The sequence below is a fragment of the Homo sapiens genome, chromosome 12 (assembly GCF_000001405.40).
Source record: "Homo sapiens chromosome 12, GRCh38.p14 Primary Assembly".
Taxonomy (NCBI): domain Eukaryota; kingdom Metazoa; phylum Chordata; class Mammalia; order Primates; family Hominidae; genus Homo; species Homo sapiens.
The window spans coordinates 25,228,244-25,249,011 of NC_000012.12; the positions used below are offsets into that span (position 1 = coordinate 25,228,244).

At 36.6% G+C, this 20,768-nt stretch overlaps 1 protein-coding gene across 5 annotated transcripts in view, besides 1 other annotated feature; it reads right to left on the reverse strand.

Moving 5' to 3' along the window:
- Positions 1-20,768, reverse strand: part of KRAS (KRAS proto-oncogene, GTPase) — a 45,684-nt gene that overhangs the window by 22,998 nt on the left and 1,918 nt on the right. For all 5 annotated transcript variants that reach the window (NM_001369787.1, XM_047428826.1, NM_001369786.1 and 2 more), the window contains exon 2: positions 17,031-17,152. In NM_001369787.1, coding sequence (NP_001356716.1) covers positions 17,031-17,141 — 111 coding nt within the window. In that variant the 5' untranslated portion in view covers positions 17,142-17,152. The remainder of the gene's footprint in view (positions 1-17,030; positions 17,153-20,768) is intronic.
- Positions 15,770-15,939: an enhancer, noted in NCBI's record as "experimental_26705 CRE fragment used in MPRA reporter constructs". NCBI's record gives its function as "activates a minimal promoter by MPRAs in K562 erythroleukemia cells, with activity observed for the introgressed 12:25397032 variant allele {active_cell/tissue: K562}" and the evidence as "EXISTENCE:reporter gene assay evidence [ECO:0000049][PMID:34662402]".

Below are 20,768 nucleotides of genomic sequence, written 5' to 3' on the forward strand. Positions count from 1 at the left end.
GGGCTCAAGCGATCCTCCTGCCTTGGCCACCCAACGTGTTGGGATTACAAGCATGAGCCACTGAGCTCCATCTGATTTTGGATTTTTGGACGAGGGATGCTGAACCAGTTAAGTATCTATGAATATTCCAAAATCCAAAAAAAAAATCTGAAATCCAAACCACTTCTGGTCACAACCATTTTGGATAACGGATGCTTCAACCTGTATATACATGCTACAACACAGATGAACCTTGAAAACATTATGCTAAATGAAGTAAGCCAACACAAAAGGACAAATACCACATAATTCCACTTATATGAGGAACCTAAAATAGGCAAATTCAAAAAGACGAAAAGTAGACTACAGATTACCAGGGGCTGGGGGAGGGAGGATTACTGGGGACTATTTGACAGGTACAGAATTCTAATTTGGGATGATAAAAAAAAGTTCTCAAAACAGATAGTGCTAATGGTTAGACAACATGGTGATGGTTGCACAACATTATGAACACACTTAAGGTCACTGAATTGAACACTTAAAATTAACTACCATGGTCTAGGCGCGGTGGCTCACACTTGCAATCCCAACACTTTGGGAGGCCGAGGTGGGCGGATCATGAGGTCAGGAGATCAAGAACATCCTGGCCAACATGGTGAAACCCCATCTCTATTAAAATACAAAATATTAGCCGGGCGTGGTGGCGGGCGCCTGTAGTCCCAGCTACTCAGGAGGCTGAGGCAGGGGAATTGCTTGAACCCGGGAGGCGGAGGTTGCAGTGAGCCAAGATCGCTCCACTGCACTCCAGCCTGGCAACAGAGCAAGGCTCCGTCTCAAAAAAACAAAAACAAAACAAATGAAAGAAAACTACCATGGTAAACTTTATGTTATGCATATTTTACCACAAAAAAAAATTTTTTAAAGGTATTATATGGAGAGTCAACAATGCAAGTGTACATGCTGGTAACAAAAAGTTATTGACAAAACAAAATAATTTCAAAAATGGGATAGCTCTACCAACTCTATTATTCAAGATGATTTAAATGACAAGAAAAATCAATCAACTTATAAATAATTGTCATGCATCTATTTTATCTATAGTCAAAGGCACACATAAGGAAATGGGCAATACTCAAGATTCTAATGGCCTCATCCACTTCTGAAAACTGTGGAAAAATAATCTAACAGCCAGATGGATATCTCTAAAGAGCAATATTGTTTCATCTGCAAATCCTGAGGGGCCTCTTTTTTCTTTTCTAAAAAGAGAGAGAACTGCAACTATAAGATTAAGTAAAAGAAGGGAGTGGGTAACTTTAACAGAATCTTGAAATAAAAATCTGATTTTCTTCTGACTTTTGGGTAATACTTCTGCTCAAGATTTCACACATTCTGCCAAAACAGTCCTCAAAAAATATGGTAAAGGGATGTTACAATGTGAAGCCATGAAATCATGAAATAAGAAGCAGGGCTAACAACAGGTATAAAGCATAAACATAAAAGCAATTATTTTCTTAATGTTCCACATGTAGGCTATAGTATTAATGTATCTTTTTTTTTTTTTTTTGAGATGGAGTCTCGCTCTGTCGCCCAGGCTGGAGTGCTGTGGTGCAATCTCGGCTCACTACAACCTCTGCCTCCTGGGCTCGAGTGATTCTCCTGCCTCAGCCTCTTGAGTAGCTGGGATTCTAGGTGCACGCCACCACGCCCGGCTAATTTTTGTACTGTTTTTTTAGTAGAGATGGGGTTTCACCATGTTAGTCAGGCTGGTCTCTAACTCCTGACCTCGTGATCTGCACGCCTCAGCCTCTCAAAGTGCTGGGATTACAGGCATGAGCCACTGCGCCCAGCCTCTAAAGTATGTTTAGTTTATGAATTACTCTGTAGACCATTCTATCAGAGGGAGAAAGAGAGAAAGAATGGTCATTACAAATGTTGTTAGTAAAGTATTTCAAAATGTTTACAGTATAAGGAGAATATAAAGATGTCTAAGTGCAGCATGATCACAATAATATGTGTTTATGTATTTATACAAATCTACTATGTGTTTAAAAACTGGTAATATATACATCAAAATGTTATAAAGGTTATGTCTTTAATGGAGATAATTTAAAAGACATTTATCTTGGCCGGGTGCGATGGCTCATGTCTGTAATCCCAGCACTTTGGGAGGCCAAGGTGGGCAGATCACCTGAGGTCGGGAGTTTGAGATCAGCCTGACCAACACGGAGAAACCCCATCTCTACTAAACATACAAAATTACCTGGGCCTGGTGGTGCATGACTGTAATCCCAGCTACTCGGGAGGCTGAGGCAGGAGAATCACTTGAACCCGGGAGGTGGAGGTTACGGTGAGCTGAGATTGTGCCATTGCACTCCAGCCTGGGCAACAACAGCAAAACTCTGTCCCAAAAAAGACATTTATCTCTTGCTTATCTCTTTTCTTTGTACTAGATGCTATGTTAAATGTTTTTCTTTGGTTTTCAATTTTTTAAAGTATGAAAACCTACATATTAGACTATAATTTTGTGCTTATCTTTTAAAGCATATGGTATTTTCCAAACCATCTGTAATAAAAATTAATTATCTCACCAGTCAGAAAAAAAAGATGGATATTTATTTTCTAAATAAGAGGCTCTTTAGTAGAGATTTGAGCATTCAGTTGACATTTACTTAATTTAGCCTATTCTCTTATTAAATACTTGAAAGAACTCCTATAGATCACAAATTAAAAACCATTCTAAAGAGTAATGAAAAAGCAGGAGGTGGGAGCAAAGCACAGAGTCTTAGAGTCAACCCATTACCCAGGCATGGCTACAGAGCATGTAAAGCTGACCAAAGACTCTTCCTACCTATTGCTGCCACCTCACATTCTTTTTTTTTTTTTTTTTTTTTTTTTTTGAGATGGAGTCTTGCTCTGTTGCCTAGGCTGGAGGGCAGTGACACGATCTCGAGTCACTGCAACCTCCGCCTCCCAGGTTCAAGCGATTCTCCTACCTCAGCCTCCTGAGTAGCTGGGACTACTGGCACGTGCCACTGTGTCCAGCTAATTTTTGTATTTTTAGTACAGATTGGCCAGGCTGGTCTTCAACTCCTGACCTCAGGTGATCCGCCTCGGCCTCCCAAAGTGCTGGGATTACAGGCGTCAACCATCGCGCCCAGCCTGTCACCTCACATTCTTTACTTACCAATGTAGGCTGAGTATCCCTACTCTGAAAAACCAAAATCCAAAAATACTTCTAGGTCCTAAGCATTTCAGATAAAGAATAGTCAACCTGTAATGTGGGATATTAGTAGTTTATGTACATATTTCATAAGATGCTTCCATGGTGAATACACCAGTGCGACCGAGAAACTGGGAAAGCAGTCCCCTATTCACTGATAAATCTCATTCCTATTATCTTTTCCCTACCAGACCTTAAAAATATCGATAGCAAAGTTCTGAGACACATTCCGTTTCAAAGTAATCTATAACCTACTCATAAATAATACTGTTGATTAGAAATAAAAGGTTTAGGTTAAAAATTCAGTATTTTTAGAGTTAATTTTAACTAGGGTCCTCACTCTTAGAAGTGCAATTAGTCACTGAGCTATTTTCAGTGCAACTTGGTAAAAACTAAAGAAGAAAAAGTGTTAAATGAAATACGATCTAAAAAGAATGGATAAATATAAAGAGAAAACAAACGCAACAAAAATTATATATTAATAAAGATTCTGTTCCAACTTCAGGTCAGGCCATAAGAAACAGTCATCCCTGGTATACACACGGCATTGGTTCCAAGACCCCCCCAGCCTCTAGTCCTACAGTTGGCCCAGGAACATCCAGGTATATGAAAAGTCAGCCCTCCATATCTGCATTTGGTTGGGAAAAAAACGTGTATCACAAGTGGACCCATGGTCACTCAAACGCATGTTGTTCAAGGGTCAACTGTATTTGGAGGAAGAAAAAAAAATATGCATCAATGTAGACTCTTTCAAAAAATTTAGAGTCTAAATAAGGTTTCAGCAAGCTACTGCCCACAGGCCAAATCTTGCCCACTGTTTTTGTATTGCCCATTAGCTAGGAATAGTTAAATAGCTGTTTAAAAAAACAAAAACAAAAACCCAAGACTTTGTGACAAAGACCCATATGGCCCTTTATAGAAAAGTTTGCCAACTCCTGCTGTAAGTTAATAACTCTTCACATTATTTGAAGTATTCTCAACAAATATTATTTATTCTCTTTATATATTTTTTTAAATTTACCACTCTGAGAAAGTACTGGTTATGAAAACCCATCTGATTTTAAAACACAGAGATTCTGTAATGAAACTAGTTAATAATGGAGCAAAGACAAGGATGAAGGTGTTACGTTTTTAATTAGTATTTCCAGCCTTTCAAAAAAGTAAACTTTTAAATTAGGTACATAAGTTACCAAGGTTACTAATTTGTAGCCTTAGGAAACTACGATAAAATAAAGTAACTTAAACTAACTCACAATAAAATATTAAATGAAGGAAAGTTATTCCCCATAGTCCCCCCACTCCCAGCTAAAATATTATTTTTTCCATCTACATAGTAAAAAATTTTTCTAAATGAAATGTACTATACTGGCAAGACTGAATTGTAGACAGAATTCAAACATTTCTGGTGACATAATAAGCACAATATTTTTGGAAAGCAATTACAGTATTTATCTAAAGTCATTCAAATGTTCATAGCCTTTGACATAGTAATGTTACTATGGGAAATTATGCTAAGAAAATATGTGGTTTTTTTTTAAATGACAGTTATAAAGAGATTCTTAACATGGCATCCTAAAATGTCTTACAAAGAAAATTTACTTAAGCATTTAAAACTGACCCATAATCTTGCACCATTTACCTATCTTCAAAATATATCCTACATCCAACCACCTACCACCACCACCACCACCATCCCCCTAGTCCATGATAACTATTTTGTCTCAGGCAATCTGCAGCAATTGCTTCCTAGCAGGTATCCCTGCTGTTAATCTCACAATATAGTCTCCACACAGCAGCAAGTGATAGTTTATAAATGTAGGTTAGGGCTAGGCACCATGGGCTAGGCACCTATAATCCCAACACCTTGGGAGGCCGAGACAGGTGGATCACCTGAGGTCAAGAGTTCAAGACCAGCCTGGCCAACATGGTAAAATCCCATCAAAAATACAAAAAATACAAAAAAAAATTAGGTGTGGTAGTGTGTACCTGTAGTCCCAGCTATTTGGGGAGCTCAGGTGGGAGGACTGCTTGAGCCAGGAAGGAAGAAAATGAATGAATGAATGAATGAACGAAGGTAGGTTAGATCATGTCATTCACTTGCTCAAAGTCCTCCAATAGCACTCTTCGGTCTTAAAAATAAAAATGCAAAGCACTCTTCCTTCTCTGGTACCTCCTATGTTTCCTTCATAGCATGTATTATAATTTGTAATTATGTATTTACTTGTGAAATTGTTTAAGTCTATATCCTCTACTAGGCTTTAAACTCCGTGTTGGTAGGGCTCACGCCTGTTGTACTCACCACTACACACCCTCTACCTAACAGTCTTGAACGCTATAGGTAATTAGTACTGCCTCTTAAATAAGTGAATGAATCCATTTGATGTAAATATATGCAGATACTAAAAAATGAATGGAAATTTTATTAGAATTAAGCAGTTAACATAAATACAATTTAACAGATTTTTCAATTATATAATACAAATCCTTCTCAAATATTCTGAAGATACTACATATTTGAAATGAATGTTCACGACAAATGCCCCACTTTCAATGTAACAGTGTGCAAAGGCAGATTTTTTAATCTTTCAACAATTTGTTTTAAAATCTATGTTTCAATGTTCTCTTAGAAAAACAAGCACATGTTTAAGATACCATAAATTTTATCAAGACAATGAAGCTGTTAATTTTTAAATTACAATATATATTAAGAATAATTTAATAAATTTTACCTTCAATTAAATTTTATATAATATGTAAAGTTTTATGTAAAAATACAACCAAAACAATACACACAGAGATTTTAACACATTTATGGGAGGGAAGAAAATAAGACTAGGGAAAAGAATGCAGGAGTCTTCAACAATATTAACTTTTCTATCTTGGAAAAAAGAAAGAGCTAAATCAAATGTTGCTAAATGTTAAGATATGAAAGAGCTGGTTGGTACACACATGAGGTTCATTATACTACTATTCTATAAAGCACTAAGAGTGCACCCATTTTATCATTACTTAAAATGGATTTCATATTTTTAAATTTTTGTTGGTTTGATAAGCTACACATTTTTATTGTTTTCATACCAATTTCTTTGAGGAGTAATAATGTTATATAGGTTTTTTTTCTTATCTGCATATTTATCGCCAACGTGTGTCCTTTGCCCATGTGGAATTTTAATCTTCTTTTACACTGACTTGCATAATTTTTTTAATGAAGTGTTTCCTGGTTTATTAAATGCCTTTATTTTGAGGAATTTAAAAGCTAACTCATTCAAGATAAGATAACCTCATTAACCAGAACATCAAGTTTGTCATTTTTCCATTATAATTAATAACTAAATTATTCAGTGTGTTCACCTTTTAACATACTCGAGTATGGGTTTTCCAACTCAGGCAGTGACTCTGACACAGAGACATATTCCATGTATCAAAACAAAACAATATATACATTCCAAGTATAGATTTTGTTTACTATATTGTAGTAAACAAAAAACCTAAAGAAACTAATAACTTTTACTAAAGGTAATCATATTACTATTAATAGTAATTACAGCAGTCAACATTTACTGAGCCCTTACTTATATGCCAGATACTGTCATAAGCATATTACAAACATCATCTCATTTAATCTCCATCTTCATTCTGCCAATTCCATGAGATGCTCTTCTCAATATAACTAGAACTGCTGAAAATGTCAATAATGTATTACTCGGGGATTTCCTCTTGAAATTGTATGTTTTCTTAATGTATTAAGTATTGTAAGGACTTTTTACATACTGCTTAATAACACCTGTAGGAAAAGATGAGAAACTTTTACTCAATTAATGCTCAAGTACTTTACGTTACTCTTCCGAAAGGTTATTTAAATTCACTGTAGAATGATGTGTTCCGCACTTTCCGTTTATAAGCCATCAAAGACGGTTGTAGACTGTCAGAATTATAATAGGGAAGAAACAGGGAATTTAGGGTATGTAAACAGAGGTTGATGAGTTCATTCCCATCTACCCACATCAGTCTCCCTTGTATCATAGAAACACTTATTGAAAATCTAGGTGTCACATTCCGTGTCACACATTATATAGTTTCTGACCTCAAGCAACTAAGGTGAGTGGAAGAGACATGAACGTAAATAAATAATTAAAATAAAATGAATGTAACACCATATGCAAGACGAAGTACAATGGTGGCACACAGGAGAGATCAACTTTGTATGCATTAAGAAAGACGGGGAGGGGAAGGACATTCCAAGCAGGAAGGAGCAAACAGAATGTAAAAAACATAGAACAGCATGTTGAGGACACAGAACCAAGGAGCTCCATATAACTTTAGCTTAGAACAGCGGTCCCCAACTTTTCCGGCATCAGGGACCAGTTTCGTGGAAGACAATTTTTCCAAGGACCGAGTTGGGGGTGATTTCAGGATGAAACTGTTTCACCTCAGACCATCAAGCATTAGTTAGATTCTCCTAAGGAGTATGCAACCTAGATCCTTGCATGGGCAGTTCACAACACGGTTCACGCTCCTATTAGAATCTAATGCTGCCGATCTGACAGGAGCTAAGGCAAGTAATGCTCACCTCCTTCCGGCTGTGCAGCCCAGTTCCTCACAGGCCACACAGGTGGGTACCAGTCCGCAGTCCAGGGTTTGGGGATCTCAAAGGCTTAGAGGATCTCTAAGGCTTAGAGGCCTTAGAATAAGCACCAAGAAGTGAAACTGGACAATCAAGCAGGGGCCAGCTTACGGAGGGTCATGTGTATATTAAGTAAGGAGTTTTAAACTTCATCCTATACAAAATCACTAAAAGGTTTTTAAAATAGGAAGGGAGATCAGATTCATTACTAGCATTATCATGACAAATTATAGAAAGGGACAAAATGTTTTGGCCCTTCCCAGACACTGACTCATCATACCCACTCAGATTCACCAGTAGCAGCCAAAGGCACCTCTGCAGGGATTAAGCCTCAGCGACAAGGGGCCCCTCCTCTGAGCTTCCAGTTCTGATAAACCCCAAATCTTCCCAGCATTCCCTGAATCTTAGGAGTAGTGCCCATTCTTGATGTTACTGTGTTACTTCAGTGTTTTTTTGCCTTTCAGTCTTCCAACACCTAATTAGTTCTCTGTGCTGAAATATCTAGTATGGTTTCTGCTTTCTGAACTAGACTTTTGACTTCTATAAATGTTAAAAATGGGTGGAAATAAGAGAGAGAAGAAGGGGGAGGGAGGGAGAGAGGGGAGCAGAGACTGGGAGATGAGCTACGAATTATTACAAGAAATGACAAAATCTGAACTAAGGCAGCAACAGCAGTATGGACCGAAAAGATTAAATAGATTTGAGAAATACTTAGGTAAAATTGTTGGTAGGAATGTAAACAGTACAATCACTACCAAAACCACTTGGCAGTTCCTCAAAAAGTCAAAGACAGAGCTACCATATAACCCAGCAACTGTACCTTAGATATACACCCGAGAGAAGTGAAAACATATGGTCACACAAAAACGTGTACATAAATGTTTATAGTGGCATTATTCAAAATTGCCAAAAAGAGGAAATCACTCAAATGCCCATCAAATGAACAGATAAACAAAATAAGGTATATCCATATAACAGAGTATTATTCAGCCAGAAAAAGGAATGAAGGAATGATCAACAAGCAAAAACATAGACGAACTCTGAAAATATCATCCTGTGTGGAGGATGCCAGACACAAAAGGCCACGTCTGTACGATTCTCTTTATATGAAATAATCAGAGTGGACAAATCCACAGAGATGGAAAAATTAGCAGTTTTTAGAGGCTGGTGGGAGAAGGGATTGGGGAGTGGCTGCTAATGGATGTGGGACTTTTGGGGTGATAATAACATTCTGGAATTAGTAGTAATGACTGCACAACCCTTGTGAATATACTAAAAACCATGTACACTTGAAAAGTGTAAATTGTATGCTATGTGAATACATTTCAATTTTTTAAAATAACAGAGCTTACCGACAGGGGATGAGTACAAAGGGGAGGGCGAAGGAAAAGATGAGTGATATTGGGCATGTTGAATTCCCTGTACTCATGGGTTGTCCTGGTGGATATGACCTGCAGGCATCTTGATATACATACATGTCTGGTGCTCAGGACAGAAGTCCAGGCTAGAGATAGACTTGGGAGTCTTCGATCCATGGACAGCCGAAGAACTTCACTTATTTGTGCTATGGGCTTGGGCAAACTACTTTATCTCACATCTTCTCTAAGCTATTGTTCCTTCAGCTGTGAAAGTAGGTAAAACTGCATACAGGACTTTATACATAGATTAATATTAAAGACCATGAAAATCTCTTTATAAAATGAAAAGTGCTATAAAAAGTTAACTGCATTATTTTATATACTACACGCAGGCCAAAAAGTAGGGGCAGGCCACTGGCTACTGAGAACTGTTCAGAAACAGTATCTTCTCCTTACAAAATCACTGGGCACCTACAGTTGAAATAATTTTGCAAAACTGGTCACCATATTTCAAAATAAATATAATGGAGCTGGACAAATCACAGGGAAGGATAGCTACAACTGAAGGCTATGAAGGATTTCTGTTTTGATTAGGGAGTGAAGATGTTAAAGAGCTTATTTTCATGGCAGAATTTTCAATTAAAAACTAAGACATTCACTAAAAGTAAGGATAAAGAAAACAAAGACTTCTTTACTAAATGCTGGATACTTAAAATTATAAGAATGGTGAACATTAGCTTAGTACTAGAGAGAATTAAGTGTGTACTACTCCCAAGAGAAAAAACTAGTTCAAAAATCTGAATGAACTCAAGGAAAATTTATATGACAAATTTTGAAAATAACGATATAATGAGCATACATGTGTAACCTGTTCAAGTCAGATGGCATTTGCCCACAAGTGATCACTTGAAGTCCAGGTAAGAATGAGAGGCTGGAATGACCGTGGATCCAATCTTAATGCCAATATAATGTTCATATTTTATATTATATACCTCTCATATTATTTATTTAGCCTTAATAGCAATTTCCTTAATCCAAGACTACATGTGAATTATGTAATTTATTGAGGCTTGAAAAATAAGCATGAAATAATCTAACGGTATCTGAAACTTTAGTGCCCTTTTCTCTCTCCAAAACGAGTATTTACTTTTCCCCCAGCCCAATGGTATAAGCTTATTTTAAAAAACTAAAACACAACAAAGGATGAGGGAGTAATTTTGTTTCTAGATGAAATCATACTCAACACAAGGTGCTGTGACCCAGCTTCACTTACATAATGGACATTTTTGAACATCAGTATATCTAAATCTACCTAATATTTCCAACAACTATGTAATTTGTATATATGGACATACCATAATTTATTCACCCATTCTCTATTGGTAGACATGAAGATGATTTCCATTTTTTTAAAATCATAAACAACACTGCAGTAAACATTCTTATATATACATCTTAAACATTTATCCAATTAAATCCTTGGATAAATTTCAAGAAGTTGAATTACCTGGTCAAAGGACATGTAGTTTACATTTTGAAACATATTTCCAGACTGACCTCCATAAAGTCTGAGGGTCTATACTCCCACTACAGTGCAAGGCGCACACTTCTCCATACCCTTCCTAGCAGTTATCATTTTAACCTTAGCCAATATGAAAGTACAGAAATGTTATTTATTGTTTGAACTTGCATCACATTCATGAAGTAAGTGTCTTTTTATATGTTCATGTTATTTATTTTATTTCTTTTTTGGTAGACAAGCTATTTATATCTTTAGTACCCCCCATCCCTTTTTTTCTATTTGTGTGTTTGCTTTTCTCTAATTCATATATAAGATAGCTTCCTGTTACTTGAACCAAATGGTTTTTCTAGGTTTTCATTTGTCTTCTATCTTTGTTAAAGAAAACTTAATTTTTATGCAGCCAGATAGCTCAGTTTTTTCCCAAATGTTTGCCTTAATGGTTTAAGGATACTCTGATGATGAGAAAGGAGTCTCACTTTTCTCAAGGGTGAAAAATATTTATCCAAATTCCACAAATAAGGAAACCTAAAGTTAAATCACTCAATCTATGTTACTTAGATAACACTGCAAGATCCATAATTTAAGAATGACATTATCATTTTTATTTCACAAGTGTATAGTTTAGCATTAAAATTTACACAAGGAGAAACAGGGTAGAACCAGGGTTCTCACTGCGGGAGAAAGAAGGTGAAAAATAGTTAACTCTTGATTTCTTAGTAACATGCATTTCTAAGCTCTGTGCCTTGAAAACGGTCTAGAAGCAGTGACACTGCTGAGGCGGGCAGATCACGAGGTCAGGAGTTCGAGACTAGCCTGGCCAACATGGTGAAACCCCGTCTCTACTAAAAATACAAAAAGTAATTGGGTGTGGTGGTGCATGCCTGTAATACCAGCTACCCAGGAGGCTGAGGCAGGAGAATGGCTGGAACCCAGGAGGTGGAGGCTGCAGTGAGCCAAGATCGCGCCACTGCACTCCAGCCTGGGCAACAGAGCGAGACTCCATCTCAAAAACAAAAAAAAAAATTAATAGAAATAGTGAAAATAAAATATTTGAAAGGATTAAGGAGGGACACACTACCTACCTTACTTTTTTCAATGTTTTATTTTGAAAAAATTTCAAACCTATAGAAAAGTAGTAAAAAATAGTACAGCGAATAGCCTCAGCCTCCCAAAGTGCTAAGATTACAGGCATGAGCCACCATATCTGGCTTATTTCTACTAATTTCTATATTAAGATCCCAATAATTTAACTGTTCCATAACCTACACATTATGAAATAATAATGGTTAAGAGACGCCAGAAATGTAATGCTCTTAAGTATAAAGCCTCTAAATTAAGTCATATATAATTAGCATGATTGCCTAGAAACACTGCTCTTCAAAATAAAGTGGGCCATCCATATCCATGGGTACTGCATCTACAGATTCAACCAATTATGGATAAAAGATATTCTGAGGAAAAAAATCCATGAAGTTCCGAAAAGTAAAACTTGAATTTGCCATGTACTGAGTACTACGTTGAACCCACATGAATGAACTGATGTGCAGGCATTGTAATAGGTATTACAAGAAATCTAGAGATACCTAAAACTAATAAGCTCCATGAAGGCAGGAATCTGGTCTGTTTTGCGCCTCAGTGTATCTCTAGCCCACAGGAAGACTGCATGGTACAAAGTGGGCAGTGAAGAACATTTCTAGGATTAAGGAATTAGTTGTATTGTTAAAACCAGAATCTTAGGAGATTCCAAACCATAAAATCATTTTTTCCTTTCACTTAATTCCATTACCAACTTCCATTTGTATGTTTTTAAATCTTTGGATTTATAAAAACCCAAGGTAGAAAAAAACCATGACCAGTAAAGTTTTATATTCAGGTCTTAATAAATACTTATTCTTAATTTGACCTAAATACAGTACCTGAGTTTTCTGTTTATTCTAAAAATCAGGTGCTCACAACTATTCTACAGTCCTATAAAACTCTACAAAATGTGCACTTTCACAATTTGCCACTTCTGAATAGGACCCTCCTATCATCCCCTGTAACACACCACCAAGCCTTGGACTCCATTAAGCAGCTCCTGAGTGCATGCAAAGAAGCTCAGAGAGCCACACTGCTGCCTTTTAGTCCCTTCAACAAAGTAAGCTCAGTAAGTGTTAACAACTGAACCACCCTATTTTCTTATATACTGCCTCGTTTCCTTTCTTAGTTCACTATACTCACCTACTTAGTTAGGCCTAACTAATACAGACAGTAATCTTTATATTAATATTAGCAGAGAGCAAAAATGATACGAAATCAATCATATAAGACTTTTAAATAAAACGAATATATTTATAAATTGATGCCACCCATAATTTAAACAGCGAAACTACACAAACTTAGGATTTCACTGTTACTTGTTATAAAGCAAATAATTTGACCAGTAGAGGGCACTCACAAAAGTGGGGAGAGCTTCACAGCCTTGAAGAGAAATGATTTATAAAATTGCTGTGTGTCTCTGATTTTAAAAACAGAATGTTTTAATAGAAGACTGGAGTAAGCTAACATATCATTAACGTACAAAAGTTAAAGTTTAAATCTTTGTTATACTTGAAAATCTAACATAAACCTTATGTCAGGGACATGAATTTGACAATTTAAAGGATGTTTAAAGCTACAGGTTAACATATCAAGGTTTGGATCTTAACACCATTGAGGTTTGGGGTCAGATAACCCTGTTGTGGGGGCTTTCCCGTGCACTGCAGGAAGTTTAATATTAGGTTGGTGCAAAGGTAACTGCAGCTTTGCCATTTAAAGTAATAGCATCTACTCAATAGATGCCAGTAGCAGTACTCTCTCCCCAAGTTGTGGCAACCAAAAACATCTCCAGATGTTGCCAAATGTCCCCTGGAGGGCAGTCACCCAACCATCCCTCATTGATTACTAAAGATATATGTATAAACTCAGAAGAATAGCAGCTTACAAATTACATAAGGCTTTTCTTATACCAGTCTTCAGTATCAGTTTAATTTTACAAATTTTCTCTCTATAATCTACATACTTCATTCGTAGGTAAAATGAATTCTACAATGAACATGGAAAAATAAAAATAAAATAAAAATTAAAATAAACCTTGGTAAATAAATACTCTACAGCTCAGAACACTAAAGATGAAACAAACCAATCCAATGATTAATCTGGTCTTCCTTACTGAATAGGAAACTGTTCCATCAAAGAGGGGCATAATACTTGAACTGAATTATAAGTGCCACAATAAAAGCATGCTGATGTCAAACAATTAGAGCCTGGGAAAAAATACTTCCTGCTATATTTATTCTTACTAGCATATTATATACAGTAGATACTTAATATATATTTGGTAAGTGATCAACTAATCATTCTGATCTCTGTAACTACCTACATTTTTTTAAAACGAGACTTTTCCTCTTCCACCAAATTTTACCTTAGAAAAAAAACTTCAGGGTTTTGATAATAAATGATCTCTGAACTATAAAGGTATATATTTCTAGCCAAGTATTGTGTTTGGGGGCTATTTTGAGTTTTCAATAATCTTGCCCTAATAACGAGGTATTTCATTATCTCTTTAGTGGGCTTCATAAAAGATAACAATATATACTTCACAATACAAGTAAAGGTGATTATGTGCACAGCCTCGAATACAAACATACTCCATCTATGTGTCATACCTGAATGATTTTACATCATACCTCTGCCACTAAGTTGCCATTAGATAGCAGGCTAAGTTCAAATTTTGGTATACTTACAAATCTGAATTAGTCTCCATTAGTAAATATTTTCTTAATTTGAAAGATAGCTAATTTTCAGTTTTAAAAAGTTATACAAGAGTACAGTGCAAATTCTACTTAACTTGGTCTCAGAGAATTTAAATTGAAATCCTACCACTTATTAGCTACGTATCCTTAGATGAGTTACAACCTCTCAGAGACATTATTGAAAGAAACAATAGCCACCCTCCTTACTATCTCTTAGTGTAAATTTTGAAAAATCTAAATCACCAAAAAATACAGTATTACTTGATTTAAATTTTTAAAAAATTTATTTCCATTTTAAATGTAGAAAAACTGCTAATAATTCCAAAATGTGCAGTCATATCCTTTCTAATTTTCTCTCTGACCCACACGGATTGGTAAATACCAATCAAAACCTGCAATGGCAGTGAAATCCCCATATCCTCCTAAATTTTTAACTTTTTACAATAACATGGAGTCAGCATTTCCATTTAACCAACTATTTAACTACTAAGTTCTCCTGCCTTTCTTACAGTTTAACTACACCAAGAACTTAATGTAATGTGTCAGTTCCCTCAGAGACTCACTGTAACTTGGGAGATAAGAGATAATCTCAGATACCTTTTCCCAGGTGACTAAACTACGTCAGGGACCGTCAGTTTCAAAGTTCACAGGTAACCAATGCTTCCCAGAGTCAAGTCTTCTGGTTTGGCAGAAATCATAAGCAGAGTTATAGGTTTAAGTTTATAAACTTTTTCAGCCTTCCGCCCAAATAAAGGCTTAACTGTTAGCTTTATTTCTTCAACATTTATATTGCATTTTAACAATCATTAGCAAAAGGTTTCCTAACCCACTTTATCACATTCATGACGTCATGCTGTATATACTCATATAGCACTCATGACCTCTGATTGGAAACAAAGTGTAATGGAATTTCTCAGATTTTCAGGGAAGACAGACAGCATTTCCAGTAAAATCACCTTCCAAAATCCCAGGAAAACTTTCAGGCATAAAGTGAATTATATTAAAACTTCCTTTTACATCTGATTTAAATAGTAGAGTCTGCCAAGTAACCCTGAATTTGCAATACAGATTAAAATGGGTGCACTATTCAAACCTCTTCAAAGAAACAAAACTATAGTACACATTGAATTAACTTGTCAAAAGTAAATATACAGAGACTATTGCATAGGCAGTCTACTTCAATTAGACTGTTCCCCTTTACTGCTGTAAATTCTTAAAATTGGAAGCCAAATAAAGTTGTTTCTATGTTTAAATCAAATCTTTGCAAATAGGCATTATTTCTCCACTTTTTTATAGTACCAAAAATATGTGACGTTTCCTTATGATTAGTTATCTAATCAATTCTCCAGGTTCTAAACTGCATAAATATCTTCCCAAGGCCACCCAATGCCCTCAGAACTTGCCTCAGCGCAAAGTGTCTCTTCAAGACACTACACAGTACAGTACGTTAATAAGGCACTTTGACCTGTTCTAGATTTCACAGCTTGGAACTTGAAGAAAGTTCTTAGAAATTTTTCAGAACTGATTTTTTTAAATTAGTACACTAGATGTAGAATAAATGCTAAAGTATTAGGACTGCTTAACCCAGGGTAAAGAAGCCTAAGAAACAATCTAACAATATAGGGCTATTTCAAAGACAAGGCGATATGCTTATTTTCCATCTCCACTGATGTTAAATTTAACATGAAGATCCAAATTACATGTAAAATATGCTAATAAATATGTTCTGAAAATGAGTTAACAAGGACAGTTGGGGAATGTCCCCTCCTGGAGGTCTTTGAGATTAAATAAATCCTCATCTGCTTGGGATGGAAGTTCTACTCCATGACCTTCAAGGTGTCTTACAGGTCTTTACTTATCATTCTGCTGCTGGTCTTTACTTTGGTAAATTTTCATTAAACTAAAAAAATCTGAAAATAATCCTCAAAAACATGATAACAATTTAAATTTACTCAAGGAATTTTTTTTTAAATCCTAGTATTTCCTTGAGTAAATTTAAAAATGACAACAAAGCAAAGGTAAAGTTGGTAATAGTACCTTTATATAAACCACACCTTAGGCAAATAATTCATTTTGTAAAATTTATCCGGTAGTTGTAGGTTCTCTAATGTTGAGAAGAAGATAGGAAAATACTGCTGATGAAGTTTAAAAAAATCAACCATCAAACAATTATATTTCACTAGTACAATTAAATCTAACCTTTACATATGATGTCACAATACCAAGAAACCCATAAAAATAAAAGTTACAATAAAAAGATTGTCTTTTAGGTCCAGATAGGATACAAATTTCTACCCTCTCACGAAACTCTGAAATACACTTCCAATCAAAATGCACAGAGAGTGAACATCATGGACCCTGACATACTCCCAAGGAAAGTAAAGTTCCCATATTAATGGTTACATATAACTTGAAACCCAAGGTACATTTCAGATAACTTAACTTTCAGCATAATTATCTTGTAATAAGTACTCATGAAAATGGTCAGAGAAACCTTTATCTGTATCAAAGAATGGTCCTGCACCAGTAATATGCATATTAAAACAAGATTTACCTCTATTGTTGGATCATATTCGTCCACAAAATGATTCTGAATTAGCTGTATCGTCAAGGCACTCTTGCCTACGCCACCAGCTCCAACTACCACAAGTTTATATTCAGTCATTTTCAGCAGGCCTTATAATAAAAATAATGAAAATGTGACTATATTAGAACATGTCACACATAAGGTTAATACACTATCAAATACTCCACCAGTACCTTTTAATACAAACTCACCTTTATATGAAAAATTATTTCAAAATACCTTACAAAATTCAATCATGAAAATTCCAGTTGACTGCAGACGTGTATCGTAATGAACTGTACTTCATTTACAAACTCCTCCATCGACGCTTAAGAAAAATGCATAAATGCTACATAGACAGTTCTTTTATCTTAAAATCAAGTTGTTCTATCTAAATAGCCAGACTGCTGTTCTGCGGCGGCTAAAGGCTCTCAAAGGATCATATCATGACTTCACTCATGTAGAGACTTCACAGTGCTCTACACCCTGTAGCACACCCTCACAAAAGTTGCTGACAGCTATCTCCACTCTTATTGTTACAGTTTTCCTAGTGGACCCCCACCTCTAAGTGTTAGAAGTCAATATGCAACAGCTACAGAAAAACTTTTAAAGCATCATGGCAGTAGTTCTCTTGGATAAATATTAACAGTAAGAATCAGATGAGAGTTGAGAGAATGAGTGTCAAATAAAGCTGGATTGTGTCATGGGGAAATAAAAATTTAAACACTGAGGCAAAGAAGAACAATATTTGACGACATTTTAATGTGTGAAATATCTCTGGGGAAAATAGGAGTCCGAGGTTGCAATGAGCCGAGATGGCGCCACTGCACTCCAGCCTGGCGATAGAGCAAGACTCCGTCTCAAAAAAAAAAAAAAAAAAAAAAATCTCTGGGGAAAATAAAGCTAAAAACCAAGAGAACTCCGAATTAACTGTTCAGTACAATACATAATCCTGTATCACCGCTGCACAAAAAAAGATAAAGATTAGAAAGCCGGGTGCGGCGGCTCATGCCTGTAATCCCAGCACTTTCAGAGGCCAAGGCGGGTGGATCACCTGAGGCCAGGAGTTCAAGACCAGCCTGGCCAATATGGTGAAACCCTCTCTCTACTAAAAATACAAAAATTAATCAGGCGTGGTGGCGCTCTCCTGTAGTCCTAGCTACTGGGGAGGCTGAGGAAGGAGAATCACTTGAACCCGGGAGGCAGAGGTTGCAGTGAGCCCAGATCACGCCACTGCACTCCAGATTGGGTGACGGAGTAAGACTCCATCTCAAAACAAACAAACAAACAAAAAGATTAGAGATAAACACTGTTTTTAGTAAGAAAACAGCTGTTAAGAGATGCAAGTGAGCCGGGCACGGTGGCTCACGCCTATAATCCTAGCACTTTGGGAGGCCGAGGAGGGTGGATCACGAGGTCAGGAGATCAAGACCATCCTGGCTAACCCGGTGAAACCCCGTCTCTACTAAAAATATAAAAAAATTAGCCGGGCGTGGTGGCGGGCGCCTGTAGTCCCAGCTACTTGGGAGGCTGAGGCAGAAGAATGGCGTGAACCCAGGAGGCGGAGCTTGCAGTGAGCCGAGATCACGCCACTGCACTCCAGCCTGGGCGACAGAGCCACTCCGTCTCAAAAAAAAAAAAAGATGCAAGTGAATATATCTCAGTAATCAGTAATCCATGTGACTGTTACTCTTTGCTTTTCATACACTGTCTCCCAAGAGGTGCATGAATATTGACAGATTGTATAACAAACACCATACAGAAAATAAAACATATTTTTTAGTTAGTTGTTTCAAATTTTTTGAAATAATATGAATGTTTAATTTCACCTCCTTTCCCTCATGTAACACATAATTATAAATAAGGAGAGAAATGCAGAAAAAAATGGGAGTAAATGCACAACTATTTATTATAGGATGAGTAGCTCCAAATTAATGAATGTGCATATATTGTAGATAAACACTAAATATACACAGCATCATAATTGACTGAAGACCCAAAATAATAATTTGGTTTCCCAAATGATAACATACTAACCTTACTCCTAAGCCCTGCCGCAAAAAGCACCACAGGCTAGAAAAATTGTATCACACACGGTCACGGCATAGTTCCCCGCCTTACTCTGCTCTACCTAGACTTATTGGCTGCTTGTCTAGGGTGAAGTTAACAACCACTACAAACATGTATCTTATCCCGTTTGCCTCCACGCTTTATTTCAAATGTAGGCCAAAGCAATTAGGAATAGATGAGGAGAATTACACTAAAATGTATCTTCTAGCTCTCTGCCTACCCCAACCTCCCCCCAACCAGTTTGCATAGCCTAAAACAGTTCTCAAAATGTGGTCTAGGAACCCCTCAGGTTACTAAGACTTTTCTGGTGTGCAAGAGGTCAAAACTGTTTTCATAATAACATTAAGATGTCCTTTACCCTTTTAACTCCCATTCTTTCACAAGTTTTCCAGATGTGTGATCATAATAGATTGAATGCAGATGCAGATATAAGAATCCATATCTTCTATTAAGCCACATCATTAAAGAGATTTACTGAAGTGTGAAACAATACCACTTTTCTAAGTTTTGGTTTTGTTTTGGAAAATAGTTATTTTTCATAAAATATTTTATTCATGTTACCAAGTAATGGGCTTATTATTTTTAAATGAATACATTTTAAAAAATTGTTTTAATTTCCAATACGGTAAATATTAATAAATCCCAAACAAATCAAAGATTTTTTTTAATCCTGGATTTTTTTTTTCTTTATAACAAGGTCTCACTATGTTGAGTACGCTGGTCTCCAACTCCTGGCCTCAAGCGATCCTCCCGCCTCAGTCTCCCAAAGTGCTGGGATTACAGATAAGAGCCAATGTGCCCGGCCCCTTCGATAATTTTTAAGAGTGTAGGCCGGGTGTGGTGGCCTGTAATCCCAGCACTTTGGGAGGCTTAGGCGGGCGGATCACCTGAGGTCAGGAGGTCGAGACCAGCCTGGCCAACATGGTGAAATCCCGTATCTAAAAATACAATTAGCCCGGTGGCGGGAGCCTGTAATCCCGGCTACTCGGGAAGCTGAGGCGGGAGAATCGCTTGAGCCTGAGAGTCGGAGGTAGTAGCGGGCCGAGATCGCGCCACTGCATTCCGGCCTGGGTGACAGAGTGAGACTCTCTCTCTCAAAAAAACAAAGAGGGTAGAGGGGTCGTTAAGGCCAAAAAGTTTACTAGCCTAGGAAATACTGTGGACAGACATTGGATTAGAGTTTGTGTATATATATGAATTCAGAGCCACATGTATCTTCCGGTTTACTTGTTTATGCGGTGGTTGTTTCCAGAAAAAAAAAAAATTCCTTGAATGAGATTTTTAAAACCAAATCACATTTAAATCCACTAGAGAGAACTGGGTTCCAAAGGAGTCTTACCAAATGAAGATCATGGGCTGGGAGGGGATCCCTCACCGAGAGTTAGAAAAGCTAGTAAGGAGTGGACTGGACTCGAATCCAACAATTTTGTAATGGAAGAAAATTCATTTTTATTTTTCATAAAACTGAATTACCATCTACCATCTCTTAAAAGCAAATATACTGTGGATGGCTACAGTCTCAAAGTAAACTATTGTTAGCAACCATATTTGATATCTGTAGTCTATAACATGCAGAGTCAGCATTTTGGACCTCAGTCACTTCAGTGACACCAGTTTTATGGTTAATTCTGAGCTGATAATTACAAATAGACCTTT